At 37.7% G+C, this 17,547-nt stretch overlaps 1 protein-coding gene across 8 annotated transcripts in view; it reads left to right on the top strand.

The window, feature by feature from the left end:
- Nucleotides 1-17,547, top strand: part of XPO4 (exportin 4) — a 125,446-nt gene that overhangs the window by 35,250 nt on the left and 72,649 nt on the right. For 4 of the 8 annotated variants that reach the window (NM_001372061.1, XM_047430537.1, NM_022459.5 and 1 more), the window contains 2 exons: nt 4,667-4,808; nt 11,760-11,898. In NM_001372061.1, the coding sequence (NP_001358990.1) occupies nt 4,667-4,808; nt 11,760-11,898 (281 nt within the window). Of the gene's footprint in view, nt 1-4,493; nt 4,557-4,666; nt 4,809-4,828; nt 6,921-10,046; nt 11,659-11,759; nt 11,899-17,547 lie in introns of those variants that run through there. The other 4 variants (XM_024449394.2, XM_047430538.1, XM_011535200.3 and 1 more) reach the window with 4 other exon arrangements.

Genomic DNA, 17,547 nt, shown 5'->3' with positions numbered 1-17,547 from the left:
GCCTTATGGCAATAACGATACCATTTGCCTTAATGGATTTGCTATCTTAAATTGTTTCGTGAGGTGAAAATGTAATTACTTTTCATTATGTAAAAGCACTTTGTGAACAGTGAGGTAAATGTCATGGCCATATACTTGATTTTAAACAGCTTTTAAAAAATGTAATCGGCTTTAAAAATGCTGTGTTCTGTGTTTGCAAGGAACTAGCAGCAGTGGTGAAGGTGGCTCTGTCTCATTTAGGAGTTAGGTCTTAGCAGAGGAACAGGTTCAACAACTACCTTTTAAATTCTCACTGAAGCCATTTTAATTAATTTACTTATTTCAGTGGTCAGCTTTTATAGTTGTGTGGATTCGTTTCTGGCACTAAGAAGATTTAACATATACCTGTGGAGGATATTTAACTCAATGTTAAAGGAAGCAAAACTAAACGGCATAAAGAGTTTAAGGAAGCATTAATTCATCCTTACTGCCTTGAAATTGTTCAGCATTAATAGATTTAGAAAACCGTTGTGTTAAACTATTAACCTAAAATAATTTGAGTCTGGTTTTCATGGCATATGCCTTAACGACATTGACTAGGATTCCATCAGTGTTTCATCTGACTTTCTATTGGAATTCAGTGTCATTGTACACTAGTTGGGAAATAGTTGATCTAACTTACAAGTATTTTATTAGAGTGTATTTGTTTATACCATTCTTTCCTTTTTAGAATATGTATATTTTATGAAGTATTGTTGCTTTGTTATGATTGAGCTTGTTTTGGAATACTTTTGTTTTCCTGATAAAATTTTCTAAAGAGTAGTATTGCTAGTTCTGGCCATGCTTTTAAAATGAGTTTGGGTTTTGAGACACTGACTATTTAAAAGGTGGAGTGCATGTATTACAAGCATAATCATTAATGTACTGCAAAGCCCTGTGTTACATTAATGTTTACATCTAAACTTCACAGAAAATCTTTTCACTCCTTATTCAGTTGCCACCAGCACAGAAGGGTAAATTCCTCTAAGAAGACTTCTCATACAAGTGGCAGTCAATCGCAGTTCAGAATTTTCACATTCTTGTTTAGGGATTATGTGTCATTTTTATAGAAGGTCTGGGTAATATATTCTACTAAAGGGGAGACTTTCTTTGATGCTTCCCTTTTCTGGCCTCTTAAAATTCTTCCTTCTCACTTCTAACTTGAGTTTTATATGTTGCTCATTTTTCCTCATTTCTTTCTCTTCTTATCCTTTTGTTTTCATTCTAGTTTTTATTTTCTTTGCTCTTTTCTGTGTGTGTGTGTGGTGTATCTGTGCATGCATGTGGCATGCTTGTGCATTTTGTCAGAAGAGCACTTTTAGACTTCTTCACTTCAGAAGTCTTTGGCACTTAGTAATTTAAATTTTTTAGGATCAAATGTTCCTTTAAAAAAACAAGTGAGTTCTGTTCTTGTTAAAGAAATAATCAAGAACTGTGAGGGATTGGCTTACTTCTTCTGGAGCTAACTTTGTGGCATTCTTTTACTCTTTCTCAGGGAGAAATGGATTTCTTTCACTTCTGATCTCACAAGTGCCAAAACAAAACAAAATAATAAACCACCAAAAAGTCAGTTAAACTAGTAAACTTTTACACCTCTGGAAAATTGTTTCCTTAGTAGTGCTGTCAGTCACTGGGAATTAATAAATCATCTTCCATCTGAGACTTTTTGTCATTAGTTGGTGGGCATAGGTATCACTGAGTCAAAGAGTAGACTTGGAGCTTATATTGCCTGTGCTTTGGACAGAAATACTTAAGGCCAGAGAGTTGATTGTAGTAGCTGTATATCTGTGGCTTCACTACCGGGGTTTTTTCTTTTTTAAAAAAACTTTTTGGTCAGAATGTAGTGCTTTTCCTGTATTATTAACTTTAACTTTTGTCTTCATGTTTCTGTTTAGTTTCAGATGGCTGACAAAATTCAAATGAATTTTATTTACATAATTATTATTAAAGAAAGTTACTGTGGTAGCAGATGAAAGCATTTTGCTAAAGTGACCTAAAATAATTTATTCTCTGGACAGTGTCCTAGTCAGTGGCAGATCTTCCCAGAAGTAGTTTAGAAATTCTAGATGAGGCTGGGTGTGGTGGCTCACACCTGTAATCCCAGCACTTTGGGAGGCTGAGGTGGGTGGATCACTTGAGGTTGGGAGTTTGAGACCAACCTGACCAACATGGAAAAACCCTGTCTCTACTAAAAATACAAAATTAGCCGGTGTGGTGGCACATGCCTGTATTCCCAGCTACTCGGGAGGCTGAGGCAGGAGAATCACTTGAACCCGGGAGGCAGAGGTTGTGGTGAGCCGAGATTGCGCCATTGCATTCTAGTCTCAGTAACAAGAGCAAAACTCCATCTCAAAAAAAAAAAAAAAATGCTAGATGAATTGTGAGTTCTTCATGAAAACCCTGTAGTTTCAGGCATCTTTGTAACAGAGAGCGAAAGTAAAGCTCATATGTATTTGTGAAGTTCTAATTTCATACTGGTAGGCTTCGAGAGTACCTTCTAGCATCTCTTGCATATTTCTACTATGTATAAGTTAAATTTATGACAGCTAATAATGGTTTTTATGAGAAAGGGTAATTTATTAGTTTAGGAAAATTTCTTCTTTTAAATTAGGAATTTGGCTTTTTTTTTTTTTATTCCTCCATTCTTAGAGTCAGCTTCTTATGGGAGTAGTCATTTAGAGATCATCATTTAATACCATGCAGAGGTCTAAGAAAAAGAATTAAGAAACTTTTGTGTCTTGAAAATTTTGAATATTCATCTTCTATAACTGCCCCCTCACATCCAACACCCACCCACCTCCAAAGGGCAGAAAAAGGCTTGGATGTAAAAACAAATAGTTAGGAATGTTTCAGTGATCATTAACAATGAAAGTGCTTATTCGCTCTATCTTCAGTGGCATGTGTGTTTCAGGGTAGATTAGTATTGCTCAAGGAACATTTACCAGCCATGTGACCTCAGTTTCCTCTCTATCTCTTGGGGCATCCTTCAGCTCCTGTAAAATGGAGGAATTGATTTAGATGGTCTTCAGAGTTCTATAACTAAAATTCTTAGAGTACCTTAGATTTTGCTTCATTGTTGAAATCCATGGTTAAGGATTTCCGGTTTCTTGTCCTTAAAATTTTTACTATTGCAGTAGAAAATGAAGATAGGCAAACAAACATCATTTTCTTTAAGAAGAGGTTTATAATGAGAGATTATTTGAATTACCTTTATGAGACAGTACCATATTTCTCTTTAAGTGATCTAAATAGATGGAACTGGGTCCCCCTTTTTTTTTAACTCCTAGAGTTTTAAACACATCTTTTCTAATAGGTTCACATTTTTAGAAGCTATTCCTTTATTTTAATTATTTATTATATTTTAAAGTTTCTAAATTTGTATCAATTCTGATTATCATCTCAATTAGAGTTCATGTTAAGATAGCATAGAATAATCAAAACTTTAAAAAAAGGTTCAAATTGGTTTCTCTTAGTGGTTTTGGTATGATCAAAACTCCTGTGTAGTAGTCTAATACGATAGGAATTTATATAGGGTACACCTTTTCTCATACATTTTTATAGCTAAATGTGTCAAGAACACTTGTAAGATTTTTAAATGACCTGAGCTTGAATAGGAGAGAAAATGGTGTGCTTGACTGTATATATCTTCATGCTCTTCTGATATATTCTTGAAGGTGCCAGTCTATGCCTAGAGATAATTTCTCATGGCTTTCAGATATGCATGTCCAGTGATCTTGGCAAATAATCTGGAGTCTAATCATGAGCTTTTCATGGATTTCACATGATGGTTATTTTTTAGAGCCTCAGAAAATTTCTGCTTTTTCTTGACTTCATTTCAACTGTTTCTCCCTGTTGATAATGCTGTTTGGGAAACTGATTGTAGTGGTATTGGTGAATAAAGGAAAAAATAGAAAATTAATATAAAACATTTTTAAAGTGTGTTAATTTTCTATTTTTTCTCCCCTGATTTAGATTTTAGATCAGATACTATAACTTGCTAGCTAAGGCTGGGTCTTTCTAAGTGTAGCTTTGGGATTTTACTCAGTTTGATCAGTACTGCAATCAGAAAATTCACAAGCACTTCTCACCTTGTGTAAATGTGACTTATATTGTTTTTTATATTTTGAGAAAGAAAACCTAAACATGATTGTTTTTATTTCTGAACTTGCTATTGGAGATGGGTCATCCTGCTGAAAGCTTAATACTTAAAAATGAAATATTTTAACAGCATGGCTCATCACAGGTAGTAATGTTCAATGACTAGTTTATTAAAATGTTTTTCAGATACAAAGTTCTGTTTTGCACAGGGTGAGAATCTTAGGAAATTTTCTGATTGCTTTATATTTTTATTTTTATTTTTTTTAAAGCTGTGTTATTTTTTAGTTCTTCATGCTTTGGAAGTAACAGTTGAAGAGAGGTGAGGAAAGTTTGTGAAAATTGTGATCGGTGATTAGCTGCCACCTGCCTGAGGTGTCTTCTGAGAGGAACTAACCTCTTTGTGGTGCTAGAGCAAGGTCACTGGATAAAAAAAAGAACAGGTAACCATCTTATTCCTTGTCTGAAAAGTTCTGTTTTAAAATTAATAAATGCAAAATGTGCAAGGTAAAATGAATTATTGTTTAAATAAAGTTTTTAATTTTCTCCTCAGAAACTAGTAAAGTGGACTATGTCCTCTTTCAAGCTGCCACAGCCATAATGGAAGCAGTTGTCCGAGAGTGGATTCTCTTGGAAAAAGGTAGCATCGAGTCTCTGCGAACATTCCTTTTAACCTATGTCTTACAAAGGCCCAAGTAAGTACATGGAGGGGGACTGCTGAAATACTTTTGCTGAGCTTATGTGTATCTTTTTAGAGCTTTTTTTGTTTGCATTTTAAAAACTTTTGGGTGGGTATAGTGGCTCACACCTATAATCTCCACTTTGGGAGGCTGAGAGGGAGGATCTCCTTGAGCCCAGGAGTTTGAGATCAGTCTGGGCAACATAGTGAGACCCCATCTCTACTAAGTACAAAAAAAGAAAAAAAATTTAAAAAGCTCTAGATGTTTAAGGTTAAGTTTTGTGTGGGGCTCATATTTTAAACACTTGTATACACGTGATTGTAGGTAGTTTTGGTGCTTAATGAAATAATACCTTTTATTTAAGCTTTTGGTACTATGTTTTGTTTCTTTGAAAAGGTTGTGTTGGATATTAGTTTTTTGTTGTTGTTGTTGAGTTGTGAAGAACTTAGTTATAAATAAAAGTTGACCTTAGATTAGATGAAGAACCTTTATATTTACTTGTTCTTTTGATGCTTAGTAGAGGTGAAAAATGGTAAGTATTGATATAACACAGGTGAGTATCCTAAAACAGGGGAGAGGGAAGAAGCTAAGTACCACTAACAAATCAAATGTTACATATATGTGTACATAGAAATGTGCATAGAGGGCTGGGTGTGGTGACTCACACCTGTAATCCCAGCACTTTGGGAGGCCAAGCCAGGCAGATCATGAGGTCAAGAGATCAAGACGATCCTGGCCAATATGCGGAAACGCCATCTCTACTAAAAATACAAAAATTAGCTGGGTGTGGTGGCACACGCCTCTAGTCCCAGCTACTCGGGAGTCTGAGGCAAGAGAATTGCTTTAACCTGGGAGGCAGAGGTTGCAGTGAGCCGAGATCATTGCATCACTGCACTCCAGCCTGGTGACAGAGCAAGACTCCTTCTCAAAAAAAAAAAAAAAAAAAAAAAAAAAGAGAGAAATGTGCAAGGTTCTATTAAGAAGTTCCAAAATCTTTAAGTAGCTTCCATTGAAAATAGGATGAGTTTTGAGGAATGAGGTGAAAGTAAATTTTCTTTTTATACATATCTGTATTGCTTAAACATTTTACAAAATTATGTACATTTATTTCTTGAATGATTAAAAAAAATATATGAGGCCTGATGTGGTGGCTCATGCCTATAATTCCAGCACTTTGGGAGGCTGAGGTGGGTGGCTCACTTGAGGTCAAGGGTTCAAGACCAGCCTGGCCAACATGGTGAAACCCCATCTCTACTAAAAATACAAAAATTAGTCGGGCGTGGTAGTGCATGCCTGTAGTCCCAGCTACTTGGGAGGCTGAATCAGGAGAATTACTCAAACCTGGGAGGCAGAGGTTGTGGTGAGCCAAGATCGAGCCACTGCACTCCAGCCTAGGTGGCAGAGTGGGACTCCATCTCAAAAAAAAAAAAAAAAGAGGAAAACTATCAGCTACATAACTTTTGATTTACTATTTACCTTTTTTTGTTAAGTTCCCCAAAGACCATGTATTCTTTTAAGAATAGACAATGCACTTGTATGTTTACTGTTTGTGCAATTGAATACTTTAGATGTTCATTTCCAAAGTCATTAAAGAAAAAATTTTGTTATGTAATCAGAAATGTGTGTGCTTAGGAATGGTGATTAATGGCAATAAACATACACATAAAATTTTAATTTTAGAGCATACTGTCATGCATTTGTTTCTGTTGACTGTACCCTGGCAGTCTGAGTTAATAATATTTAATAATACTGACATGACTTTAGCACTTTGTTAACTGCTAACTGCCTTACATACAAAAAAAAAAAATACAGGAGAGAACAAAGGCAAAGGTTCTGTAGCCTATTAGTGTTGCAGGTTTAGTGGATAATGTGTCCTGTAGATAAGTGGATATACATGTTTGTGAGGAGGACATGGCTAATTTTTTTCTGGTTTTCATAGAATAAGGAAGTCTTGTCCCTGGTTTGAAACCTTTCTTTTCTCTGTCATGCTGGATTGATTGATTGGTTTTTGTTTGGTGGGTCCATTTGGATGTGATACTAGTTTGCTCTTTTGTTGTTTTTATTTGACCATATTTGCTAGACCTGACAGGACTGTTTGTCTTTTGACCCCTCTGTACATAAAGAAAGGTAAGTACAGGTGAGTAGAGGTCTTGACAATGTCAGCAAGTGCTTGTTATTTTGTTTGTTGTTTTGCACACAATGTAATTCAGACACATCAAAATTTATATTATCAATTGCAACCATGGAAGAGATACGTGTTTTGTTGAATTCTAAAATGATATTTGTTTTGGTATTTTTCTTTACCCTACGAAAATATTTTGAAATCAATTATGATAGTGTGCTTGTTGTTGAACACAAGTTGAGAAAACCTTCATATTTATTTATATTTATGTAATAAAAGAAAATAAGCCTTAGGGCCTCTGTGTTTATAGAAGTTTATATGTGGGAAGGTTAAAAAAATTGTTTTTGGCCTCTAGGCCTAAAATGTTAGCGTTTTCTGAAGAGCAGTCTATTTATGTGACCTTGGGAAACTAACATAAAGTCTCTTTAATATTCTGTTTTACCTGTAGATCAGGGACTTGGTACCCATCTCATATGGTTGGTGTCAGGATTAGATGAGATTGTTCTGAGCACAGTGCCTGGTGGGGAGTAAAAGCTTTGGCTGCTGCAGCTGTCATCATCTGGACCAGACTACCTTATGGAGTCAGGGCCAGCAGGGGAGCTTCAGGTCAACTAGAGCGGTTCTTTTTTGTGGAGCTGTTTAGTTGTCATAGCCTTTTCTCCCCCTTGTCGCCATTCCCCAACCTGAGAACCACTGAACTCTGGAGACCTTGGTAGACTTAAATGTGTAGCAAATTTTCATTATGTATATGTGTCTGGCTCTTATATTATCCAAAATAATCGCATTCTTTTTTTTTCCTTTTTATTTGTTCTTTTTTTTTTTTTAATTTTTTTTGAGACAGAGCCTTGCTCTGTTGCTAGGCTGGAGTGCAGTGGCGTGATCTCTGCTCACTGCAACATCCGCCTCCTGGGTTCATGCGATTCTCCTGCCCCAGCCTCCCGAGTAGCTGGGACTAGAGGTGCGTGCCACCACACCCAGCTAATTTTTGTATTTTTTTTGGTTTGTTTTTTGAGACGGAGTCTCGGTCTGTCATCCAGGCTGGAGTGCAGTGGCGTGATCTCCGCTCACTGAAAGCTCCACCTGCTGGGTTTACGCCATTCTCCTGCCTCAGCCTCCCGAGTAGCTGGGACTACAGGTGCCCACCACCACGCCTGGCTAATTTTTTGTATTTTTAGTAGAGACGGGGTTTCACTGTGTTAGCCAGGATGGTCTCCATTTCCTGACCTCGTGATCCGCCTGCTTCAGCCTACCAAAGTGCTGGGATTACAGATATGAGCCACCGTGCCTGGCCTAATTTTTGTATTTTTAGTAGAGATGGTTTCAGCATGTTGGCCAGGATGGTCTTGATCTCTTGACCTCATGATCTTCCCATCTCGGCCTCCCAAAGTGCTGGGATTACAGGTGTGAGCCACCGTGCCCAGCCTCCTTTTCAGTTTTTTAAATTGAGACAGGGTCTTGCTGTGTTGCCCAGGCTGGTCTCTAACTCCTGAGCTCAAACAGTCCTCCTGCCTCAGTACCCCAAAGGGCTGGGATTGCAGGAATGAACCACCGTACCTGGCCCAAATTAATCTCATTTTAAAATCATTTTGATAATTTAGAAGCTAAAGTAATTAGTTTGATTGTAGAGTTGATTGTAGGGTTCCACATTGAAATAGCTCACATATATATATATATATATATATATATACACACACACATATATATATATATTTTAATTTTTTCTTTTTTTGTTTTTTCTTGAGACGAAGTCTTGCTCTGTCACCCAGGCTAGAGTGCAATGGCGCAATCTTGGCTCACTGCAACCTCTGCCTCCTGTGTTCCAGCGATTCTACTGCCTCAGCCTCTGGAGTAGCTGGGATTACAAGCATGCGCCACCATGCCCAGCTAATTTTTTGCATTTTTAGTAGAGACGGGGTTTCACCATTTTGGCCAGGCTGGTCTCGAACTCATGACCTCATGATCCGCCCTCCTTGACCTCCCTAAGTGCTAAGATTACAGGCATGAGCCACCACACCTGGCTTACATACATATTTTTTATCTCAAACATTTTTTTTAAGAGAGAGAGTCTTGCTGTGTTGCCCAGGCCAGAATGTGGTGGTAAACACACCCTTTTTCCAGTAGAGGCTCAGTTAACATTTTGTCACATTTAATTTCTCTCTTATGTATATGTACATTTTTTACCCTTAACTATTCGAGAGTGCCACAGACATCATGATACTTTAGCCTTAAAGTTCTTGAACGTGTCTCTTCTGAAAGCATAATCTCAATACTCTTGATATAATTGGCATATTTATATGATCTAACAATTCTGATTCCATATTCTGAGTTTCCCAATTGTCTGAATAATATTTACATCCTTTTTCCTTTATACTTTTTTTTTGGTATTGCAGTCTGTCACTTCAGATCTATTAATATTTGCTTTATTTAGGTACAGTAGGTTTTTTTTTAATCTAGGTGAGCCAGAGATTGTACAGTGTATTTAGTCATGTCTCTTTTAATCTAGAATAATTGTGTGCTCTTTTTTGCCTTTCATGACACAGATATTTGTATCTTGTAGAATGCCCTACAGTGTGGATTAGATTCAAGTTAAACGTTTTTGGCATACTGCATAGGTAGAATACTATAGGCTATGTAGTAGACTATTACATAAATAATGTGTACTTCCCATTACATGCACAGAATTTTTTCTTTTTTATTTTTTCCTCTTAATTGAAATAAAATTTGTATACAGTGAAATGCACAATGTCCTTTATGAAAGAGGCAAGTGTAGCATAGTGGTCAAGAAAGGGATTTGCACCCTACTTCTGCCACTTAACTCTGCAGCATTGGGCAGATTACTTCTTTGTGCATTAATTTTCTGATTTGATTTTTTTGTTTGTTTTTGAGATGGAGTCTCGCTCTGTTGCCCAGGCTGGAGTGCAGTGGCGCAGTCTCAGCTCACTGCAAGCTCCGCCTCCCGGGTTCATGCCATTCTCCTGCCTCAGCCTCCCGAGTAGTTGGGACTACAGGTGCCTGCCACCACGCCTGGCTAATTTTTTTTTTTTTTAGTAGAGACGGGGTTTCACCGTGTTAGCCAGGATGGTCTCTATCTCCTGACCTCGTAATCCGCCTGCCTTGGCCTCCCAAAGTGCTGGGATTACAGGCGTGAGCCACTGCGCCCGGCCTTCTGATTTGATTTTTAAATGGAGTGAATAATAGTAGTAGTATCATGGGGATTAGATGTGTTAATATTTGTGAAACCAGTTCATATAAATTCTTGCATATAGTAAGCATTCAATAAATGGTAGCTATTATTTATTCTAATAATAATTTTAATTCTTGCCAGTAGAGATATTTAAAACTATGTTTGTGTACATTTGTAGTCATAGTCTTCAGCTTTATGTACATTTTCTAGTAGTAGTCAGTGCCTATGAAACTATTCTGTCCCCCTAAAAGTACAGAAATTCCCTTTGGCCAACTAATATTCTTATGCATAGTAGGATCTCTGCATTTATTTGCTTAATGAGTGAAAGATAAATGGTTCAAGTGTATGTTTTGAAGGAATGTTTTTTCACTTCAGTCTTGACGATAGGGAGACATATTTATTCATCTGTATAAATATCTAATAAATGCATGTTATGCAGCAGGTAGTGTGCTTTGCATATGCTAGTGTGCATAGAGTGGGTGGCTGATCTGGGAGCTAGTGAACCAGTAGTAACAGATATGTCCTGTCATGTGAGGGTGCCGTGGGAGCCCTTAGTAATAACTTTCTGGAGAAAGTGACGTCATAATCTTGGGAGAGGGAATAGAAGTTCAGAGGCCTGGAAGTCAAAAGAGTGTGGAGTGAGGAACTGAAAGGTCAATATGTCTGCAGTTGTGCGTGTGTGTGGAAGGGCAGAAGTCAAGGAGAGGAGCAGCCACTGGTGGCTATAGGTGGGTCTCCAAACTGGGACACTTTTGAGAGTGAAATAAAGAACGACTAATAATTATTTGGGGCAACAGGTGAATTGAGGCTGTCCCAGGAAAGCTAGAATGGTTCCCACTGCTTATAAGCCATGTTAAGGGGTTTGGGTTTATTCCAGGGGCACTTGGTGGTTGTATCTTTGTGGGATTCCAGAGGCTAGATTATAAAGTTTGGGATTATGTTTTCTGATCCTTATCTTTCAGAAAAGATTGTGAAAAGTCAATTAAGTTTCTGTGCCCTTGTGGTCAAATGGGCTTGGTAAAATGCCTCCACTTGGGATGGGTGCTTCTGTCATCACATGGAGGAACAGAACCTAGATATGAACATTTTGAATGTTTGTGTGTGTGTGTTTTACAATTTTATGTTTCCATAATGATGTATCTCGGATAGCTAGTATGTTGCCTTTTCACATTAAAGGGAAATGGGATTTAGGATTAGATTAGTAGTTGTAGACGTAGGTTAGATCAGAATTTATCTCCAGACTAGTGGAATCTTAATCTTAGTGATTTTTTTCCCTACAAATATTTAACAGGGAGCTGACTTACATCTGTTGAACACTTCCTGGAGCAAATAACACTTGTATAGTGCTTAGTATGTACTGGGCACAGTTCTAGGAACATTTAACCCTTATAATAACACTAGTAGTGTTATTCTCATTTTACAGATTGAAAACCAAGGCCCTGAATGCTAACTGTCTTGCCCAGGGTCATACAGCCCGTCCACAATGGAGCCTGGGTTTGAACCCAGGCCTCCTGGCTTTGGAGTCTGTACATAACCCTTTGGCTCTTCTACTCTCACATGTAAGCAATGTTATTAGTAGCTTCAGGCATAGAGAGAAGTTTGGGAGTATTCTTGTATTAGATTTAGGTAAATTTTTCACAATGATTTTTATGTTTTACAGCCTTCAAAAGTATGTTCGGGAACAGATTCTACTAGCAGTAGCAGTAATTGTAAAAAGAGGATCATTAGATAAATCAATTGACTGCAAAAGCATTTTTCATGAAGTCAGCCAGTTGATTAGTAGTGGCAATCCCACTGTGGTAAGTGTGCTATTTGTATTTATAAATATTAACAATTTATATTTTCTGTTACACAAATAGCATTATAGCAAGAGTAATGGATATCTACATAAAAATAGTGAAAAAGCTATCAGTCAAGCAATTTTCATTTGTTCAGGTTTTCTTCTAGTCTTTTTTTTTTTTTTTCCCTTGTGACAAGAGTTTTGCTCTTGTTGCCCAGGCTGGAGTGCAATGGCATGATCTTGGCTCACCGCAACCTCTGCCTTCCGGGTTCAAGCAATTCTCTTGCCTCAGCCTCCCAAGTAGCTGGGATTACAGGCATGTGCCACCACACCTGGCTAATTTTGTATTTTTAGTAGAGACAGGGTTTCTTCATGTTGGTCAGGCTCGTCTCAAACTCCCGACCTCAGGTGATCCGCCTGCTTCTGCCTCCCGAAGTGCTGGTATTACAGGTGTGAGCCACTGCGCCTGGCCTAGTCTTTTTAAATATATATGTACATAATATAAATGCAGTGTACTTTGCTTTTTCGTTTGATTCTGTATTTTCCATGTTGCCATAAATATTCATAATCATTATTTTAATTGTTATAAAATATTATAAGTTAATATGCCATAATATTGTTAGCCGTTTCTATTGAACTTTGTTTTGCCATTTCTAATAAACCTTTGACAGCTACTAGTGAATACAGAAGTGTTTGAATAAAGTAGAAAATATCTGACATGAAAATAATTAAAAGTTGCTGTCCTAATAGGCCATGGGACTTCAGGAGTTACTGTCAACTGAACAAATTAGGGGTTATTGTTCTTGGCTGAATTAGTTTGGGAAGCATGGTTCTCCCACCCTCTCCACTCTCCTGTCCACCTTTTAGAGAGCTGGAGTTGTGCCTGGAGAGTGGCTGTTTGGTTGTAATCACTCTGTCTGAGGCAGGAGGAGTTGCGGTTGCTATTAATGATTAGCTGTGATTCTTTGTTTAACCTATCAACTTTTATCACCTGAATGATATTTAACTCATATAGAATTGAGATTGGTAATACTTGGCCATTCTGAGTCTCGGATATTATTACATCTTTAAGTATTTTGGGTAGCTTATTACCTTTACAATTTATTTAATCATTTTAAAGATATCTATGTGAGGCTATGTACCTTATAACTGTTTGTTAATTCCTTTTGTCTTCAGTGGCCCCTCAGTTAATGGATGTGATTTTAACGATGTAGTTGATGCTTTGAGGTTGAGATGCTGTGGTGTATTTTAGGAGGGCCACATACATTGTCCCTTGCTTTCCACAATATCTTGGATCTCTTCTCTTCTGCCTTCCTGTCCATCACTTTTCACCGCACACAGCTATGCGCTCAACTCACTCTCCCAGCCATCTGCCTCCACTCTGCTTAGGACCGCAGACTGATACCTCAGGAGTCTAGACCCACGGAATCTGTAAGCAAGCTGATCAGGACTTTGGAACTTACTATATATACCCTACGTGTTTTTTGTTTTCCTTAGAAATTCATCAATGGTCTTGTGTTTGTTCTTTTTTTTCCTTAACTTTATTGAGAAGTAATTTACATGCATTACTATGTCTGTCTAAAATGCACACCTCGTTAAGTTGTGACTGTTGTGTATACCAGTAAACTCCTACCATAGTCAAGATACAGAACATTTTTATTTACATCTTGATTTTTGATTGTGTGATATTAAGTTTTATGCCATTTTTGTGGCAAATTTCAAGAGTAGTGCTGTCCAGTAGAACTTACTGTGTTGAAAGAAGTGTTCTATGTCTGTGCTCCCCAATATGTAGCCACTACACTGGCCACTTGTGGCAGTTGGTGATGTGAAATGTGGCTAGGGTGACTGAAGAACTGAATTTTCTAATTTTTTAAATTTTAATTTAAATTCAAATAGCCACACATAGTTAGTGACAAACGTATTGGATAGTGTCATTCTAAAGACCGATAATTTAATTTTATGGCCCCTTTACTTAATCTTAGTATTGTGAAATTTAATTTTTGTATAAAACTAATAAATTTGAAAGTATATATGTTTGAATCTTTACATTCTATAAGTCATTTTGATTTTATGAAGTGGGAATATTTCTTGAAAGAAGGGTTCATATTAAATTTTTGAGGTGAAAATTATGGGGAGCTACTTTTTTTAAATTTAAGAGACAGGGTGTAATGCAGTGGTGCATAGCTCACTTCAGCCTCAGTCTCCTGGGCTCAGCCAATCCTCCCACCTCCCACCTCAGCCTCTCGAGTAGCTGGGATTAAGGTACAGGCTACTGTACCTGGGTAGGAAGCTATTTTTTTTTTTTTTTTGAGACAGGGTCTCACTTGCTCTGTTGCACAGTCTGTGGAGTGCAGTGATATGATTACAGCTCACTGCAGCCCCGACCTCATGGGCTCAGTCTTCCCACCTTAGTCTCTCCTGAGTAGCTGGGACTATCGGCACAAGCCACCACTCCTGGCTAATTTTTAAAGTTTTTTTGTAGCGATGAGGTTTCACTATGTTGCCTAGGCTGGTCTCGAACTCCTGGGCTCAAGTGATCTCTTGCCTCAGCCTTCCAAAATGCTGGGATTACAGATGTGAGCCACCACGGCTGGCCATGGGAAGCTATTTTTACTTAGAGTAATATAAATTGTGGTAGTAGATATAGTCTCCATTTCTGATCAGCATGTCATGAGCTTTAGATAAATCAATTGACCGCAAAAGCATTTTCCATGAAGTCAGCCAGTTGATAAGTAGTGGTAATCCCACTGTGGTTAAGTGTGCTATTTGTATTTATAAATATTAACAATTTATATTTTCTGTTACACAAATAGCATTATAGCAAGAATAATGGATATCTACATAAAAAAAGTGAAAAGGCTCTCAGTCAAGCAATTTTCATTTGTTCAGGTTTTCTTCTAGTCTTTTTTAATATATGTATATAATATAGATGTGGTGTACCTTGCTTTCTCATTTGATTCTGTATTTTCCATGTTGCCATAAATATTCATAATCATTATTTAAATGTTATAAAATATTATAATCAAATATACCATAATATTCAAATATACCAAATATAATATTACCAAATATTATAAGATTTGTTCATGAGATGCTGATGCTTCAGCAGTGTCTACACGAGTTGTATAATGGTAATCTTGTCATTTCTATGAATTTGTTCGAATTTGCTTCCAAACTAATGGCCATGTGCATTATCCAATGTTGGTCATCATCGATAGCCTGGGGAAAAAGAAGTGGTGGATATACTTAGATAAAAATAGCAGAGAAAAGGTTTGCAACTGAGGCTGCTACTTGGAAATATTATCCTTGCCCCCAATGCCCTGAATCAAGTTGCACTTCATATTTTAGATTTCACTTAAGAACATCTTGTTTCATTTTGACAGTGTGCAGTAAAGGAGTCCAGCTCCTTGTGACAGACAGGATTTAAACTTGAGGAACATTACTAGTAACTCTGAGATCTATCTATTTATGACTAATGCCTTTCCCTTGTTAGTTTGGTGATCATTCCAGCCAGGATTTTGGTATTGGGGTAGAATTTATGCGGCCTGCCCTCACCCCCTACAAGTAGCTTGTTGGCACTGGGACGGCGCAGGCGAAGGGTCAAGAGTCCCTTGCCTCTCTCAGGAATGAGCACATACTTGGGAACTGAGTTCTCTGCTTCCTTTCCCCTTGGGTAATTTGACCCAGCACAAAAACTAGTCCCACTGCAACCTGGCAATTGGATTTTTTTGGAGCCACTGAAATAACTGATCTTCTGAGAATGATTGGAACAGATATAGCTGTTCAGTTAGAGAAGATTTTGCTCTCTTCATAGTGTGTACACTTTGAGAATAGTGGATAAATGTAATATTCTCATGAAAGACTCCAAAGTTTTTTTTAAAGTCAAATTTCTGTCTTTCTTTCTTTCTTTCTTTCTTTTTTTTTTTTTTTTTTTGTGAGACCGGGTCTTGCTCTGTTGCCTCGGCTGGAGGGCAATGGTGTAGTCTTGGCCTACTGCAGCCTTGACCTCCCCATGCTCAGGTGATTCTTCTACCTTAGCCTCCTGAGTAGCTGGGACTACAGGTGCATGCCACCACACTGAGCTAATTTTTTGTATTGTTGTAGAGACAGGGTTTTGCTATGTTGCCCAAGCTGGTCTCAAACTTCCAGGCTCAAGCAATCTGCCCACCTTGGCCTCCCAAAGATTATAGGTGTGAGCCAACCATGCCTGGCCTAAAGTCAAATTTTTAATACCAGGGCTGAGAACTACTGTAATAGTAGGAAATCAGTATACTTCAGTGGGAAGTAGAATTTAATTTCAGGATTGCAGGATGAAATTTATTTTGGTGACTACATTAAAAACATTAAATGTGAAAAATATTCTCTATATGGCAGGTTAAATGCATACACTGTCCCTATTTGTCCTTGCCCAGTAGCTTGAAACTAGCTCAATAGGAAGGCCTAAAAAATGAAGTTCAGACATTTTCTTATATCATCCTCTCTTCTTCTTGGACTGTTAAGAATTTGTAAGTGGTTCAAGAATTTACTTAATGTTTTCATAGTCTCAGATATAAATGACAGTGAACAAGATGATTAAAACCTCTGTAAGAAAGGAGAATGATAACTGATCAGAACATTGATTTAGTATTGGCTATAAACTTTCTTTATAAAGGTGACTTTTAAGAGAGATTTGAAAAGTAGAAAAAATTAACTAAAGGTTTTCTGTAGATGAAGAAAGGGTTGACTTCATGAACCATTAAATTAGATAACTAATTTTCCCCTCACACCTCTTCTAGAAGGACATTTCCATCAACCTTCATTGGCCAGAAACTGTATGTAGTCTGGCTTTTCCCCCTTCGCTTTTGAAGCATATTGGTTTCATTTGTTTGTTTTGTTGTTTTAGAAACAGGGCCTCGCTCTATCGCCTGGGCTGAAGTGCAGTGACATGTTCATAACTCACTGCTGCCTCGATCACCTGGGCTCAAGTGATCCTCCCACCTCAGCTTCCTGAGTAGCTGGGACTGTTGGTACGTGCCACTGTACCTGGCTAATTTTAAAATTTTTTTGTAAAGATGGGGTCTCACTATGTTGCCCAGGTTATCTTGAGCTCCTGACCTCAAGGTGATCCTCCTGTTTCAGCCTTATAGGTGTGAGCCACCACGTCCAGCCAAGAATTGATTTTTGATGGTCCATTTCCCTGTACTAGTCTCATGTTTGCATTTATACAGGTTTAGGGGCAGTGTAGTATAATAGAACACTGATTTTGGATTCACACTTGGGTTTAAATCCCAGCTCTGCCATTTATTGCCAACCTAACTTAAATTAACTTCTCTAGGCATTAGTTCACTAATATGTAAAATAAATGTGATAATATTCACTTCTATTCAGCAAGTATTTGTGCCGTCTCCCTAGTAGTCTCTCACTGCTTTCTTCATAGAATCTCGGGAAGTGAACTATAATAAATCATGTGTTTTTCTCTCAAACAATATTTTAAGTATGGAAAAGCAGAAGAAAATGTTTATGCTATGAGTGAAACTAATCATTTGTGTGTGGTTTTTGTTGAGACAGAGTCTTGCTCTGTCGCCCAGGCTGGAGTGCATTGGCATGAACTCAGCTCACTACAACCTCCGCCTCCTGGGTTTAAGCGATTCTCATGCCTCAGCCACCCGAGTAGCTGGGACTACAGGCG

The sequence above is a fragment of the Homo sapiens genome, chromosome 13, assembly GCF_000001405.40.
Source record: "Homo sapiens chromosome 13, GRCh38.p14 Primary Assembly".
Taxonomy (NCBI): Eukaryota; Metazoa; Chordata; class Mammalia; order Primates; family Hominidae; genus Homo; species Homo sapiens.
This window is presented reverse-complemented; position numbering and strand designations above follow the sequence as displayed.